The sequence below is a fragment of the Homo sapiens genome, chromosome 4, assembly GCF_000001405.40.
Source record: "Homo sapiens chromosome 4, GRCh38.p14 Primary Assembly".
Classification (NCBI taxonomy): domain Eukaryota; kingdom Metazoa; phylum Chordata; class Mammalia; order Primates; family Hominidae; genus Homo; species Homo sapiens.
This window is the reverse complement of record NC_000004.12, coordinates 91961565-91979819: the sequence shown is the minus strand read 5'-3', so window position 1 is coordinate 91979819 and position 18255 is coordinate 91961565. Positions and strand designations below refer to the sequence as shown.

Below are 18255 nucleotides of genomic sequence, written 5' to 3'. Positions count from 1 at the left end.
GGCTGCCCTTATCATTTTTTCCTTCATTTCAACTTTGGTGAATCTGACAATTATGTGTCTTGGAGTTGCTCTTCTCGAGGAGTATCTTTGTGGCGTTCTCTGTATTTCCTGAATCTGAACGTTGGCCTGCCTTGCTAGATTGGGGAAGTTCTCCTGGATAATATCCTGCAGAGTGTTTTCCAACTTGGTTCCATTCTCCCAGTCACTTTCAGGTACACCAATCAGACGTAGATTTGGTCTTTTCACATAGTCCCATATTTCTTGGAGGCTTTGCTCATTTCTTTTTATTCTTTTTTCTCTAAACTTCCCTTCTCGCTTCATTTCATTCATTTCATCTTCCATTGCTGATACCCTTTCTTCCAGTTGATCGCATCGGCTCCTGAGGCTTCTGCATTCTTCACGTAGTTCTCGAGCCTTGGTTTTCAGCTCCATCAGCTCCTTTAAGCACTTCTCTGTATTGGTTATTCTAGTTATACATTCTTCTAAATTTTTTTCAAAGTTTTCAACTTCTTTGCCTTTGGTTTGAATGTCCTCCCGTAGCTCAGAGTAATTTGATCGTCTGAAGCCTTCTTCTCTCAGCTCGTCAAAATCATTCTCCATCCAGCTTTGTTCTGTTGCTGGTGAGGAACTGCGTTCCTTTGGAGGAGGAGAGGCGCTCTGCGTTTTAGAGTTTCCAGTTTTTCTGTTCTGTTTTTTCCCCATCTTTGTGGGTTTATCTACTTTTGGTCTTTGATGATGGTGATGTACAGATGGGTTTTCAGTGTAGATGTCCTTTCTGGTTGTTAGTTTTCCTTCTAACAGACAGGACCCTCAGCTGCAGGTCTGTTGGAATACCCTGCCATGTGAGGTGTCAGGGTGCCCCTGCTGGGGGGTGCCTCCCAGTTAGGCTGCTCGGGGGTCAGGGGTCAGGGACCCACTTGAGGAGGCAGTCTGCCCGTTCTCAGATCTCCAGCTGTGTGCTGGGAGAACCACTGCTCTCTTCAAAGCTGTCAGACAGGGACACTTAAGTCTGCAGAGGTTACTGCTGTCTTTTTGTTTGTCTGTGCCCTGCCCCCAGAGGTGGAGCCTACAGAGGCAGGCAGGCCTCCTTGAGCTGTGGTGGGCTCCACCCAGTTCGAGCTTCCCGGCTGCTTTGTTTACCTAAGCAAGCCTGGGCAATGGCGGGCGCCCCTCCCCCAGCCTCGTTGCCACCTTGCAGTTTGATCTCAGACTGCTGTGCTAGCAATCAGCGAGATTCCGTGGGCGTAGGACCCTCTGAGCCAGGTGTGGGATATAGTCTCGTGGTGCGCCGTTTCTTAAGCCGGTCTGAAAAGCGCAATATTCGGGTGGGAGTGACCCGATTTTCCAGGTGCGTCCGTCACCCCTTTCTTTGACTCGGAAAGGGAACTCCCTGACCCCTTGCACTTCCCAGGTGAGGCAATGCCTCGCCCTGCTTCGGCTCGCGCACGGTGCGCACACACACTGGCCTGCGCCCACTGTCTGGCACTCCCTAGTGAGATGAACCTGGTACCTCAGATGGAAATGCAGTAATCACCCGTCTTCTGTGTCGCTCACGCTGGGAGCTGTAGACCGGAGCTGTTCCTATTCGGCCATCTTGGCTCCTCCCTCGAGTATTATTTATTCTTAAACATTTGAAGTAATTACAGGTGAAGCCTTCTGGGACTTTTAAAATGATGTACTCAATTTCTTTATTTTCTGAATATATTACTTCTTCTCAAGTAAGCTTGTATAAGTCACCCTTCTCAAGAATGGGTTCATTTTCATTTAAGTTTTGGCACCTAATTTCTTTTTTTCAATGTATGTTGAATCTGCCATTTACATACTGATATTTATAATTTGTGTTTTTGGGTCTTTTTAAAATTATTTTAGCCTGGGTTTGTTAAGTATATTAAAGTTCTAAAGAAACAAATTTTGGATTGTCAATAACCATGAAAGATCCGAGATTTTACTCAACTTGCAATCTAACAAATTAGCTCACAGTTTCATTGAAACAGATAGAAAACACAAGACTCCTGGGTTACAGAAAAAGGATGTTTTATTACTCATAATGATAGCAGTAGCCATGTTCTCAACATTTGCCCCTGCTTCTCCTAAGTGTCATGAAGGTAATTACTAAAGAAGTCATGCTTTTCAGGAGAGAATCACTGAGCTTAGGGAACACATATATTGTATAATGGATAGTAAGCATGCTTGCCCTTTGCTCCAGAGGGTAGCACTATTTGATGTATAAAGATAGTCTTTTTGGCTTGAAAAGTTAAAGGTCAACCAACTATAGTTGGTACCATGGCTATAATTGACACTTTTTTTAAATCCTTAAAAATGATTTTTTAAACTTGTATTTTAATTTCAGAGGTACATACACGTATAGGATTGATACATAGGTAAACTTGTGTTATGGGGGATTGTAACTGACACTTATCTCCCTCCTTCATTTTCTTTTCAAAAATCTCTCCTCCAACTTGGCTAATGCTTCTGTATGTTTAGATGGTTTGCCTGGTGTGTGGTTCAAACTCTCATCTGTAAAGGATCTGTGATCTTACACCACTGTAGAAATATGTGCTTTCTGTACTCACCCATTTTCATTTAAAACTGGGGGTGGGAAAAAATACAAAACACCTAGTATACAATTGAAATGCCAAATTGACAAGGAACATTCCTCCTTGTCCCCATTATGTAGCATAAGAGCCCTATTTCTTCATAATGATCAAGATCAATTATACTTGCCAACAAGGTAATCTTTTTCTCTACCGGCTGGTCAACTGTCACACAGAGCCCAAATTATCTAGTTTGTAGCTGTAATTTTAAGTTTAGTGGGACACTAACTGTGTCTTCTTGTGGAAGCATTCTTCTTTTAGGAAACGAAGACATCTAAACACTCAAAACCTGAAGTTGTTGAGACAATAAACACATATTTCCTAAGTGTGTTACTAGGAATGACAGTAAGGAGTACTGTATTTGTCCATTTTCATACTGCCATGAAGAAATGCCTGAGACTGGATAATTTATAAAGAAAATGAGGTTTTATGGACTCAGTTCCACATGGCTAGGGAGGCCTCACAATCATGGAGGAAGTTGAAGGAGAAGCAAAGACACATCTTACATGGTGTCAGGCAAGAGAGTGTGTGCAGGGGAACTGCCCTTTAAAACCATCAGATTTTATGAGAATTAATCACTATCATGAGGTCGGCATGGGAAAACCCACCCCATTATTCAATTATCTCCCACTGGTTCCCTCCCACAACATGTGGGGTTTATGGGAGCTATAATTCAAGATGAGATTTGGGTGAGGACACAGCAATATCAAGTATCATCTCTGTTTTTACCTCTACATTTTTCAATTCCTGTCCTTTACTCATTAATGACAGAGCACCATAAAATAGGCATTGATTTAAAGTGTATATGGACTGAGGAGAGAGGAGAAAGGAGGCCAAATGGAACACTTCAGCAATAGTGTTCCTGCAGAATCACCAGATTGAACAACTATTCATGCAAGAAAACATCTTCATAAGAACCAAAAAAATCAGATGAGTGGTCACAGTAACTGGTTTTAAAATAATAGCCAGGAAAGTCACTTTAAAGGAGGTGGGGAAGACAGCCTTGCATTGTCTACACCACTCCTACAAACCCAGGCAGTGCAGCAAGAGGACAGTTTGCATGCTTGGAGGAGGGACAGTGAAGTGCATTTGAGACTTTACATTGGAATTCAGTTCTGCCCTCTCACAGTCAAATACAACACAAGGCAGAATTCTGCTGGCACCCATGGAGGGAAAATTTAGACAGCCCTAAGCCAGAGGGAAATACTTTGCCTCAGTGGAAGGAACATGAGTCTTGGTTTGCTTCAGTATCAACAGACTGAAATGGCCAGAGAACCCTAAATAAATTTGAGTGAGAGACAGGCCGCAGGGACTATAGTCCTTGGGCAAGCCCTGGTGCTGCACTGAACTTGGTTGCAGAGGACTTAGAGTGCAACCCAGTGCAACAACAGCTCTGCAGCTGGCCATGAGAGTGCCTATGTCACCCCTACCCCAACTCCAGGCAGTGCAGCTTGGGGAAAGACTCTTTTCACTTGGGGAAAGGAGAGGGATGAGTACAAAGGACTTTGTCTTGCAACTTGGGTACCAACTCAGCCACAGTAAAACAAAGCACCAAGCAGATTTCTGAAGCCTCTAATTCCAGACTTTTGCTTCTAAATGACATTTCTAAACCTACCCTGGGCCAGAAGGAAATCTGATCTCCTGATGAGACAGACTTAGTCCTGGAAGAATTCACCAACTTCTGACTAAAGTGCTTTGACCTTGAGTAAACATCAGCACTAGGCAGACAGTAGTGCCTATGGGCTGCAGGTAAACCCCAGTACTATCCTTGCCTGAAAGGCTGTTGGTCTTTCAGATCCAGTGTAGTTCTAGCTGTGGTGGCCATGAGAGTTCCCATGTCACCCCTCCCCCAATGCAAAGAGGAACTCCTCCTGATTGGGGGAAAGAAAGAGAAGAAAATAAGACACTTTTGCCTGGTAACTGAGGGAATTCTCCCTTATTGTCTCCAAGTCCACCAAGGCTGTATATCTAGGAGTCTTAAGAGTCACAGCATTCCTGGGCTTATGGAGCCACATTGTGCTGAAAGGACTCAGTGACCACAGGGTTAGGTCACAACACTCAATACCCTTTTTAATTCTTGGAAAGCCCACTCAAGAAAGACAGATACAACAAATCCCAACTGTGAAGATTAGAATGAATACCTAGCTTTCAATGCCCAGACATTAACGAACAACTACAAGCATCAAGAATATTCAAGAAAACATGACCTCACCAAATAGACTAAATAAGGTACCAGTGACCAATTCTGGAGTGGTAGAGATATGTGACCTCTCAGACAAAGAGTTCAAAATAGCTGTCTTGAGGAAGCTCAGTGAACTTCAAAAGAGCACAGAAAAGGAGTTCAGAATTCTGTCAGAGAAATTCAATAGACATTTGAAATTTAAAAGATCAAGCCAAAATTCTGGAGCTGAAAAATTTAGTTGACAAACTGAAAACTGTATCAGAGCCTCTCAGCCGTATAATTGATCAAGCAGAAGGAAAAAATAGTGAACTAGAAGATGATCTGTGTAAAAGTATACAGTCAGAGGAAAACAAAGAAAAAAGAATGAGAAAGAATGCTGGAGGCCTACAAGAAGGTACCAGGAGGTAAAAGAAAACCAAGCAAATTCAACCCAAGTATTACTGCCTCAAGACATATAACAATCAAACTCTCAAAGGTCAGGAATGAGGAAAGTATTCAAAAAGAAGCATATAACATATAAGAGCTCTGATATGTCTGTGGCATACTGCTTAGTGGAAACTTTACAGGCCACAAGGGGATAGGATGACATCTTCAAAGTGCTGAAGGAACTAACTTTCAACGTAGAAAAGTGTATTCAGCGAAATTCTCATTCGAACATGAAGGAGAAATAAAGACTTTCCCGCAAAAAAAGAAAACCAAAGGAATTTTAGTAACATCAGTTTTGTCTTACAGGAAATGCTAGAGAGTTCTTTAACATGAAAGAAGCAAATGGTAGTGAACAGTAAGAGATCATCTGAAGGTAAATAACTTACTGGTAAAAGTAACTACACAGACAAAGAATACTCTTTAACACTGAAATTGTGTGTAAACCACTCATATCTTTAGTAGAAAGGCTAAGACAAATCTGTCAACTACAACAATTTGTAAAGAGATAGACTATATAAAAAGATAAAAATAGAGAAAACAAAAAGTCAAAAAGCAGAAGTGTAGTTTTTTAATATTCTTTCTGCTTGTTTTTTTTTATCTTTGTGATTTGAGTTGTCATCAGTTTAAAATAATTGGTTATAAAATGTTGGTTCCGAACCCATGATAACCACAAAGCAAAAACCTATAAGAAATACACAAAAAATAAAAGCAAGAAATTAAATAATAATACCAGGGAAAATAACTTACACACAGAGGAAGACAGCAATGAAGGAAGGGAGGGAGGGAGGGAGGGAGGAAGGAAGGAAGGAAGGAAGGAAGGAAGGAAGGAAGGAAGGAAGGAAGGAAGGAAGGAAAAACAAACCAACCAATCAGAAAACAATTAACAAAATGGCAGTAGTAAATCATTATATATCAATAATAACATTAAATGTAAGTTAACAAAATTCTCCTATCAAGAGACATTAAATGGTTGAATGAATTTTTAAAAATCCAAGTATATGTTGTTTACAAGAAAATCACTTCACCTATAAAGACACATGTTGACTGAAAATGTAGGCATTGAAAAAGATAACCCAGGCAAAGGAAAACCAGAAAAGAATAGGAGTGGCTATACTTATATCCAACAAAATATATTTCAAGACAAAAACAATAAACAGAGACAAAGATGATCTTATATAATGATCAAAGGATCAATTCAACAAAAAGATATAATAATTATAAATGTATATGCACCCAACACTGGAGCACCCAGATGTATAAAGTGAATATTTTTAGAGCTAAAGAGAGACCTCCAAAAATAATAGTCAGAGACTTCAACACTCCACTTTTAGCATTAAATAGATCATCTAGATAAAAAAATCGGCTAAGAAACAATCAGACTTAATCTGCACTGTAGAACAAATGCACCTAATAGATATTTATAGAACATGTCACCCAACAGCTGCAGAATATGCATTCTTCTCCTCAGCACATAGAATGTTCTCAAGGATAAAACCTATGGTAGGCCACAAAACCAGTCTTTTTTCTTTGAGACAAGGTCTTGCTGTGTCGCCCAGGCTGGAGTGCAGTGGGTGATCATGGCTCATTACAGCCTCAACCTACAGGGCTCAAGTCATTCTCCCACCATAAGCCTCTCAACTAGCTGGGACTACAGGTGCCCACCACCATGCCTGGCTAATATTTTTTCTTTTTCTTTCCCTTTCTTTCTTTCCCTTTTTTTTTTTTTTTTTTTTGAGACAGAGACTCATTATATTGCCCAGGCTGGTAAAATCAGTCTTAAATAATTCTACATGGATATTTATAGCAACTTTATTAAAACCCCCAAATGCTAAACAACCAAAATATCCTTCAGTGGATAGATGGATTAAAAACTGGCTCATTCATACAAAGAAATACCATTTAGCAATAATAAGGAACAAATTATTGATACAGGCAACAATGTGAATGAATCTCAATACCTTATGAAAAAGGTCAGATGCAAAAGATTGTGTTCTGTGTGTTTTATTGATATAACATTCTGGAAAAGGCAAAACTATAGTGACCTAGAGCAGATTAGTTGCCAGGGCTGGAGGTCAAGAGAAGTTGACAAGGAAAAGCGCAAGGGAATTTGGGGAGTAATAGAACAAGTTTATAAGACTGTGTGTGTACAGTTGTCAAAGCTCATAGAACTGTACACCAAGAAGAGTGAATTTTACTGTTTATCTATTTAAAAATGAAATAAATGACTTTGCTTTCTTGCAAATTCAAAGAAATTAAAATCATATCAAGTATATTTTCTGACCACAATGGAATCAGTAATGAGATAAACTTTAAAAATTACACAAACACATGAAAATTAAACAATATGCTTCTGAATGACCATTAAGTAAATGAAGACATTAAGAAGAAAATTTAAAAAATTCTTGAAACAAATAAAATGGAAACAAACCTATGGGATACAGGAAAGGAAAACAAGAAGTTCATACTAATGAACACTTTCATCAAAAAAGTAAAATTTTTAAATAACCTAACAATGCATCTTAGAGAATTAGAACAATAAGAGCAAACCAAACCCAAAATTAGTAGAAGAAATAATAAAGAACTCTGCAGAAATAAGAGAAAGTGGACTAAAGAAGCATATAAAATATCAACAAAATGAAAAGGTGATTTTTTTTGAAAAGATAAAATAGACAAATCTTTAACCAGGCAAACTGAAAAAAAAAGAGAAGGCCCAAATAAATAAAATCAATTACAAAAAAGGGAGACAACACTCATACCACAGAAATTCAAAAAATTATTAAAGACTATTATGATCCAATAAATTGGAAAATCTAGAAGAAATGGCTAAATTCCTAGACACATAAAACCTACAGTGATTAAAGCAGGAAGAAATCCAAAACCTGAATAGACCAATAACAAGTGGCAAGATAGAACAGTAATAAAAGTCTCCCATCAAGGAAAATCTCAGGACCTGGTGTAGATGAATTCTGCAATGCAACTAAAAAAGAACTAATAATAATCCTACTGAAACGATTAAAAAAAATCAAGTAGGAGTAAACACTTCCAAATATATTCTATGAAGACAGTATTACCCTGATAGCATAACCAGACAAAGGCACAACATAAAAAAATTCTACAGGCCAATATTTTTGATGAACATAAATGTAAACATCTTCAACAAAATACTAGCAACTCAAACAATACATTAAAAAGATAATTCATCATGACTAAGTGGTCTTCATCCCAGGGAGGCAAGGATGGTTCACCATACACAAATCAATGAATTTGATACATCATATCAATAGAATGAAAGACAAAAACCATATGATCATTTCAATAGATGCCAAAAAACATCTAATAAAATTCAACATTGCTTCATAATAAAAACTCTCAATACAGTGGGTATAGAAGGAACATACTTCAACATGATAAAAGTCATATGCAACAAACTCACAGATAGTGTCATACTGAACAGGGAAAACTGCAATCCTTTCCTCTAAAGCCTGGAACAAGGCCTGGAAGCCCACTTTCACCGCTTTTCTTTAACATAGTACTGGATATCCTAGCCAGAGCAATCGGGCAAGTGAAAGAAATAAAGGATATCCAAATAGGAATATAGGAAAGGGAGAAGTCAATTATCTTTTTTTTTTTTTTTTTTTTTTTTTTGCAGATGATATGATCTTATACTTAGAAAAATCTAAATACTACACAAAAAAACTATAGAATTGACAGTAAAACTCACTAAAATTGCAGGATACAAAACCAACATACCCAAATCAGTAGCATTTCCATATGCCAATAGCAAAAAATCTGAAAAAGAAACCAATAAAATAATACCATTTAGAGTAGTTACAAATAAAATAAAATATCTAGAGATAAACTCAACCAAAAAGTATAAGATCTCTATGATGATAACTATAAAACATTGATAAAAGAAATTGAAGAGGACAATAAATAAATGGAAATCTATTTCATATTTATGGATTGAAGGAATAAATACTGCTAAAATGTCCATAGTACCCAAGATAATCTACAGATTCAATGTGATTCCCATTAAAATATCAAAAACATTATTCAAAAAAATTGAAAAAATAATTTTTGTATTTTTAGTAGAGACTAGGTTTCACCATGTTGGCCAGGCTGATCTCAAACTTCTGACCTCAGGTGATCCTCCCGCCTTGTCCTCCCAAAGTGCTGGGATTACAAGCATAAGCCACCACATCTGGCCAATAATCTTAAAATTCATATGGAAGCACAAATGAGCCAGAATAGCCCCAGCATCCCTGAGCAAGAGGAACAAAGCTGGAGACAATGTTATAGTAACCGAAACAACATGGTACTGGCATAAAAACAGACTCATAGACCAATGAGTCTATGACAACATAGAAAACAACAACAAAAATATCCACATTTTCACAGCCAATTCATTTTTTACAAAGGTACCAAGAACATACATTGGGAAAAGGAGATTCTTCATAAATGGTGCTGGGAAAATTGGATATTCATATGCAGAAGAATAAATCTAGACCCCTATCTTTAAACATATACAAACTCAAATAAAAATAGATAAAATACTTAAATCAAAGATGTAAAACTATGGAACTACTAGAAGAGAACAGAAAAACACCTGAAAACATTTGTCTGGGCAAAGATTTATTAAGTTCCTAAAAGCACAAGCAACCAAACCAGAAATGCACAAATGGGATCCTATCAATTTAAAAAACTCCTGTACAGCAAAGGAAGCAATCGATAAACTAAAGAGATAACCCACAGAATGGGAGAAAATATCTGCGAACTAAAAACCTGTCAGGGATTATTAACCAGAATATATAAGCAACTCATAAAACTCAATAGAAAAAGGAAATAATCTAATCAACAAATGGGCAAAAGATCTAAATAGACATTTCTTGAAAGGAGAAATACAAATGGCCAAAATGTATATGAAAAACTGCTCAACATCACTAATCATTACAGAAATGGGAATCAAAACCACAAGAAGTTATCATCTCTACCAGTTAAAAAATGGCTTTTATTAAAAAAAAAAAAGCAATAATAGATACCGGCAAGTATGCAGAGAAAAGGAAAGCTTTGCACACTGTTTGCAGGAATGTAAATTAGTACAGCCACTATGGAGAACAGTACAGAGGTTCCTCAAGAAACTGAAAATAGAACTATCATATGCCCCAGCAATCTTACTGCTGGGTAGATATCCAAACAAAAGGAAATTAGTATATTGAAGAGATATCTGCACTCCCATGTTTATTGCAGCACTGTTCACAATAGCCGAGATATGAAATCAACCTATGTATCCATTAACGAATGAATGGATAAGTGCTACATATACACAATAGAATATTATTTAGCCATAAAAGAGAATGAAAGCTTGTCATTTGCAACAACATGGACGGACTGGAAGTCGTTATAGTAAATAAAACAAGCTAGGCACAGAAAGACAAATATCACGTTCTCACTCATATGTTAAAATCTACCAAAAATAAAAATAAAACTACACTCATGGAGATAGAGATTAGAATAAAGGTTACCAGGGACTGTGGTGGATAGCAGTAGGGGTGGGGGGAAAACGGGGGAGTGGTTAATGGGTACAAAATACAGGTAGATAGAAGAAATAAGATTTAGTCATTGGTAGCACAGTAAGGTATGTATATTGTATACAATATAAATATATTGTATATTTCAAAATAAGTAAAAGTGTACAGTTGGAATGTTCCTATTACAAAGAAATGATAAATGCTTGAGGTGATGGATATCCAAATTACCCTGATTTGATCATTATACATTGTATGCTTGTATCAAAATATCACATCCCCCCATAAATATGTACAACTGTTATGTAGGAATAATAATCAAATATAAAAAATTAAAAATATATAGGGTATATGTGTCCTTTACAGTGCCATGTGCTTATTTGCTTGCATTCCCAAACCCAGTTGGCACTTACCTTATAGACAGGTCATACGAAACCCATATGAGGAAAAGTGTAGGTGAGATGGGGGTTTTGGCTACCTGCTCGGCCAACTTTCACATTCCCTCTAGGTTTGTTTGGGTCATTTGAAAATGTGCTGCTTCCATTTTAGGGTGTTTTGCTGCGAGAACACCTGGCCTTAGTCTTCTTTGGGAACAACAATACTTACATCTTAATGGGCATGTCTGTCTACACATTTATTTGATGTGCAATAGTCTGATGTTCAATCTCAATTCAGGATCAGTAGCATATCAGAAACTGCTTTTTAAAAAAGCAAAAAAAAAACTTCTTTTTATTTTAGAAATGTTTTAGATTTACAGAAAAATTGCAAAAATAGCACAGGAGATTCTCAGATACCCTGGATTCAGCTTCTCCTGTTAACATCTTACATTGGTATGATAGATTTATTACAATTAATGCACCAACATTGATGCATTATTATTACCTAAAGTTCATAATTTATCTGGATTTCTTTAGTTTTTATCAAACACTCTTTTTTTTTTTTTTCTGTTCCAGGATCTACATTATATTTAGTTGTTATGTCTCTCTAGGCTCATATTGACTGTGACAGTTTCTCAGATATTCTTTGTTTTTGATGGCCTTGACAGTTTGAGGAGTGCTGGTTAGATATTTTATTAAATCTCTCTCAATTGGGATTTGTTCAATATTTTTATTATGATTAGATAGAACTTAAGTATTGTTTGAAGGAAAACCAGAGAAGTAAAATGCTGTTTTCATCACATTGTGTCAGAGATATATATTATCAATATGATTTACCATTGCTGATGTTAATCCTGATCACTTGGCTGAGGTAGGGTTTGTCAGATTTTTCCACTTTAAACTTACTTGTAACTCTTCTTTTCACTTTTTACTCTTTGGAAGCAAAGCACTATGTGCATTCCACACTTAAGGAGTAGAGAAACATATTACATCTCTTTGAGGGTGGAGTATCTACTTAGATTGAGCTTTTCTGTATGGTCAATTTGTCTCTTTTCCCTAATTTATTTATATCTGTATATACTTTTGTATATGTATTTTATATTTGGGGTTATAATTATTTTATTTTATTGCTAAAATTATTTCAGCTTTGTCCATTGGTAGTTTTTTCATTCAGCCCCTGTGTCCCTTTGGCATATCCCAATCATTGTGGGTTTTGTTTTGTTTTGAGTATGGACACAGGATGCTCTAATATCATATTGTATATTTCTTGCCATAGTCCTAAAATCAATCATTTCTCCAAGGAGCTCTAGCTACTTTCATTGGAGACTGGTATTAGAAGCCAAGATCTGTGCCCTAGGTATGCCAATTACTACTGGGGAGTCATTGCTTGTAGGCTCTCTTGTCTGACAAAATGAGAGAACATATGTGTATATACTAACTAGGATATATATATATATATATATATATGTATATATATATATATACACACACACACACATATACGTGTGTGTGTATATATACACACATGTATATATATACATATATACATGTATGTATATATACACACACACGTATATGTATGTGTATATGTACATTGTGCATATGTAGCACTTATCCATTCATTCGTTAATGGACACATAGGTTGATTTCATATCTCGGCTATTGTGAACAGTGCTGCAATAAACGTGGGAGTGCAGATATCTCTTCAATATACCAATTTCCTTTTGTTTGGATATCTACCCAGCAGTAAGATTGTGTGTGTGTGTGTGTATATATATATACACACACACATATATGTATTTGTAGATAAATTTATATATATCCATATCTATAAATATTTGTATAAAATATTCATAAATATATACATATATACAAATATTTCCAAATATCTACAAATATTTCTAAATGTATGTCTAGCTACACTAAAGTTTAGCTCATTCTTATGTGTCATACTCTAATGCATTACAGCGTGAATTATTCTAGCCTTCCCCCCTCAGAGGCTGCTTCTCAAACAGGCTATAGTTCTTTGCTGCAGAAAGTAAATTCTTTCTCAAGAATCAGATGGGTCTGTTCTCTGACTTGCAGTTTTCATATTCGGATTTTCCCGAAAGTCTACATGTCACTGTGGCATTTTTGTCTCTGCCAAACACACCTCTAGGGTATGTGTTCTGCCATATTCTGTTGCCCTAGTGTCAATGCTGCTTGTTCACAGCTTGGCCTTGATATAGAACACCTTTTATTCCCCCTCCTTTGCAGCCCACTCAAACTAGTAGATTACAATTATCTAATAGTATATTATAAGGATCTACTATATTGTAATTGTAATATATATGTAACATATATGGAGACATCACATTACCTGACTTCAAATTATACTACAATGTTATAGTAACCAAAACAACATGGTACTGGCATAAAAACAGACTCATAGACCAATGAGTCTATGACAACATAAAAAACAAACAAACAAAAATACAGTTATCTACTATATATATGTTGGAACAGTATTCCAAAGTGTGGAATATGTAATTCAATATCTGAAGAAAACTATGAAGCATAGTGCTTTTGTTTTTTTTGTTTTTTTTGAGTGGTAGATGGTAAGAGGTAAAAGATGTTATCCTTTTCATTGAATAGGATTCCCTGGCATATTCTTGTACAATAGATCCCCTAAAAAGTTCCCTACCAGGACACAGAGAGGGGAACAACACAGAGGGTGGGGGTCAAGGGGAGGGAGAGCATTAGGACAAATACCTAATGCATGTGGGGCTTAAAACCTAGATGACAGGTTGACAGGTGCAGCAAACCACCATGGCACATGTATATCTGTGTAACAAACCTGCACATTCTGCACATGTATCCCAGAACTTAAAAATAAAAAAAATAATAATATTAAAAAGTTTCCTTATGTGACAAGCCTCCAAAACTTTACTGAATATAGGTCTCACTCACCAGTGAAAATATGGGTTTAATTAATCCAGAGCATATACAAATATTTTGCCATTTGGGTCCAATTAACATGACATTCTGGGCTAATGTGATATTCTGTAGAAAGTCCAGATGACAGATCAGGAGCAGAAGAATGATCATGGTCTTAGGCTAAAACAGTACATTCATAGCCTTGTTAATCCCTTGTGAATATGACTTGCTTCAGTTTCTCCTTTCTCAAGCCTATTGGGTAAAAATAAGCATTGGCCAAACCAATTACTGTGCATCCCAGAGGTTTGGTTAATCTATTTTAGATATGACAACAAAACTGGAAGATAACACATCTGGAACAGCAATTACAATTCTATTTCTTGGTTACATTTTTGGTAATTCTACTGTCATCCACTATATTCCATCTCCAACCTGTAGGAGACAGACTGGTGAACTGAATGGGAAGTTTCCCAAGTAAAGCATCCCATTCTTTAAGTCTTTGAGGCTGACACTAATATTTACTCTTTCCCACAAGATGTAGTATTGCTTCTAAAAAAATGGAGACATTTCAGGGAATTCTACTTTGTCTTTTTCACTATGGTTCTATAGGTTAGGAAACCAAAGTAAGGATTCTGGTAACTGCTAAATATATTCATTTGATTTTATATTCAGAAACCAGGAACATGATCACTAGGAAGATTCATGGATGTGCTGGATCAACTGTGAGATGGCTTACTTTTAATATCTGATAATCCCCTCCTCTAAGAAGAAACCATGGTGACATTTTGTGTTCTTGAGTCAGTCATTGACAGTGGAAGACAGCTCAGGAAGAGCATCAACTCTCTTGCAAAAGTGGCTCCTTTTCAGCCAAGTGCAATTCTCCAGGGAAGACAGTAGATAGCCATTTTCAACCAATAGCTTAACAGTGTCTGGAACATGGTTATGTATGTAGGCATCAATAACATCTACTACAAAGGCTAAAAAATACTTAAAACCAAAAGTTTTTTTTTTTAACTTAAAAACTTTTCTAGGTTTAATCTAACCAGTAAACAAATTAGTTATTAGGGCCTTAAGGTTCCATATAGTATGATATAAAGTATACTAGTCTATGAGGAATATACCACAAAAAGAGTCACAAAATATACCCCAAAGTATCTATCTGTTTTGTTGTAGAATGTTGTTAAATATATAATTATCAAATTTGGCATACTTGTTTGCCACAAAAAAAGACCTTTGGTTTTAAAGGAGTTGACCTTAACGCATTTTTGTCTTATTTGTACTTTTCAAAAACATATTATTTTGTGATAAACTATATTACCACTGTAATGGAGACTGTTTATTCTATGTATCAGGGAGATCAATATCAACTTTTATGAGGATGACAGTTATAGTCACTACTCCTCAGAGATTCAGAGCTTAGTTTGATTCTTACAGCATCCTCACCAGAAAGCTCAGATTATTACTCCGTCTTGAATATTAGATGACTGTGTGCTAAGTAGTGTGTTAGTCAGACTACTTATTCTAAATCCCCCTACCACTTTGTGAGATTTTTGTTTTGTAATATAGAAAATTATACTATATATGAGTAAAATTTATATGTATATGTGTGTGTGTATATATATAATATATAATATAATATATATATATTATATATATAATATATAATATATAATATATATATATATTATATATATATTATATATATTATATATAATATATAATAATATATAATATATATTATATATATATATAATATATAATAATATATAATATATATTATATATATATATAATATATATTATATATTATATATATATAATATATATATATATGTGAACCCCTTAAATCTGTAATGGGTTCAGATGAAACCCTTATAGGGGATTGAAATGATCATGAAAAATTAAGTTAGTATGTGTAAGTCTTTGAAACTTTTGCCTATTTATTGCTTATGTGGTTTAAGTTACTCTTGAAATTGGCTAGCATTCTGAATTTGCTTTCTTTTTAAGATGTATGCCATACACATGTTAGTATGACTAAACCATCCTTTTTTCAATTTTCCTGATTTTTGATTCATGTGCAAAGTTGTGAATCAGATTGAATCGTCTAAATGAATCATCACACTCCCCCAAACTTCCTGCGTGTTTGCACCCTGTCTGTTTGAACGTTTATATTTAGAATTCTCAAACATGCCCAGGGAGTAAGAAATATACAACAGAAACATCTGTTCCTCTTGGCAAAACTATTTCATGCTTTTTTACTTTTCAGGGTCAAGAAAAATACCTTAAGATTATTCTTATATCTGAGAGATTTAACATTTCTTATTTGTAATCTTAATCTAAATGCAGTTATTTAAACATTCATACGCACACTAACACACACACACACACACACACAAGCACACACACTTGAGAGGCAGAAAAATGTACACAAATGATAAGATGCACGGAAACAATTTTTTTCCTGTTTTTCAGTGTATGATTTTTCCTTAGCAGTTTTACAAGTTTATGGTGAGAAAAGAAATCCTTGACCTACCCAGTTTGTCTTTGGGCTGCCTCATCCCTACCCTCCCTCAGCCTACCTTTAGATTTTGCAAGCGTGAAGGAAATGTTTCTAAAATAAAAGCAAATTTTCTTTGATGCTTGCTTATCTGGTTGCTCCCCATTTAGCTAAGGTCAAAACTGTAAAGCTTATTTATACCTTTTGGCCAGACTGGAGGCTGAATTCATTTTCTAGAACTATACTGTAAAGGTCACAGATGAATATGGCATGGTTCCTGTACATTGTTACTGGGCCCAGCCTCAAGCACACATTTTCCATTCTGACCAGCATTTTCAGGGATGCCTTAGGGAAAGAAGTGATCATTTTAACATCTTTTCTCTTCAAAAATTTTAAATCCATCTAAGCCTGTGGGGCCAATTAATTTTTTTGAAGGCTGAGACAGCCCAAGACATGATAAACCCTTTAACAGTTTTTTAAAAAAATTTTATAGTGAATACCTCTAACATATTATTGTCTTTTGCTTGATAGAAATAAAATTGTTGCCAACTGTGCTGGGAAATCATAAAAGTCTAGCTAATGGGAAACAGCTTTAAAGGGTAGAGAACATGAATATTAAGTTATCATGGTGTGAACAGATACCTTATATTGCTGGATCTACAACTGCCAGGTATAAGAACAATTAGCCCAATGTTAATCTAAGTTGTATGGTGTTAAGCAACTATAAGAGGGTGTATGAACATTTATTATCAGAGTTAACTGGGTCTGTAATTAAAAACACTTGCTTAAAGGGGAACATTTTTAGAATATGCCTTACTGTTAATAAAGCTGAGCTAATCTTTGTAAAGTAACCAGTGTAGTGCTTGTCACCTGGTAAGCATTCAGTAAACAGTGGTGCTTTTTATCAGAGTAAGGGCGCAAATTCTCAGATGATAGCTCTCTTGAATAAGGAATTTGATTTTTTATGATTAAACTTCATTTTGAAACTTTGTTCTACCAGGCGGCAAAAATTAAATTTTAGCAAGTTATTCTTCACCTCAATTCATGAAGTTGTTTCTCTTGGGGACTTAATTAAGGCCAAGACCGAGGCCTTAATTAAGGTGCTTGGGAGGCGAGATATATCTAACAAAGGTGATGCTACATGTTTACTGTGGTTTCTATCATGAAGTCTTCGTTTACTCAGCTCATTGATGGTGGATCCACAAACATAATTGATTCAGTTGGACACATTGCTTCATCTTGCCACAAGACCCTTCCACACCTGCCAGACTAAAGTGCCACATTTATGCTCGTTTTGGCTGCAGAGGAAAACTTTTTTAGGCTGCCGATTCATGATGGCAGAAACCAGGGATTCTACCAAGTTGCCTCAGATCTGACTGCCTATAGGGCTTATGCAGAAATTTCTTATGTTCTCACACTAGCCTAGGAAGGGGCAAACTCTGACTCTTAATGCTTTGTGAGCCCTAACTGAAAAAGGTGGTTCAGGTTTTCATCTACTTTTGAATTTCTCAAACTAAAATCTATCTGTAATTCCTATCCTCACTCCAGGATTTGTCCAAATGAGAAAAAGGTCTCTCCTATGAGTCATCAGCATCTAAACTCTTCCTTTATCTAAACTAAAGCAGAGTGAAAGAGTCTTTCTCTTTCACTTTTCAAGATTAGCTTTATCTAGTTTCAAGGACAGTTGTAGAAGTTAGGCATCAGAAGACCCCATAAAAATTAATTCTGACCATTCATTT

The 18255-nt window shown here is 36.0% G+C and overlaps 2 annotated features.

Annotated features, from left to right (window-relative positions):
* Nucleotides 687-1280: an enhancer, noted in NCBI's record as "NANOG-H3K27ac-H3K4me1 hESC enhancer chr4:92899691-92900284 (GRCh37/hg19 assembly coordinates)". NCBI's record gives its function as "activates a minimal SCP1, AML or CMV promoter by ChIP-STARR-seq in primed H9 embryonic stem cells {active_cell/tissue: H9 hESC(primed)}" and the evidence as "EXISTENCE:reporter gene assay evidence [ECO:0000049][PMID:30033119]".
* Nucleotides 1281-1874: an enhancer, noted in NCBI's record as "NANOG-H3K27ac-H3K4me1 hESC enhancer chr4:92899097-92899690 (GRCh37/hg19 assembly coordinates)". NCBI's record gives its function as "activates a minimal SCP1, AML or CMV promoter by ChIP-STARR-seq in primed H9 embryonic stem cells {active_cell/tissue: H9 hESC(primed)}" and the evidence as "EXISTENCE:reporter gene assay evidence [ECO:0000049][PMID:30033119]".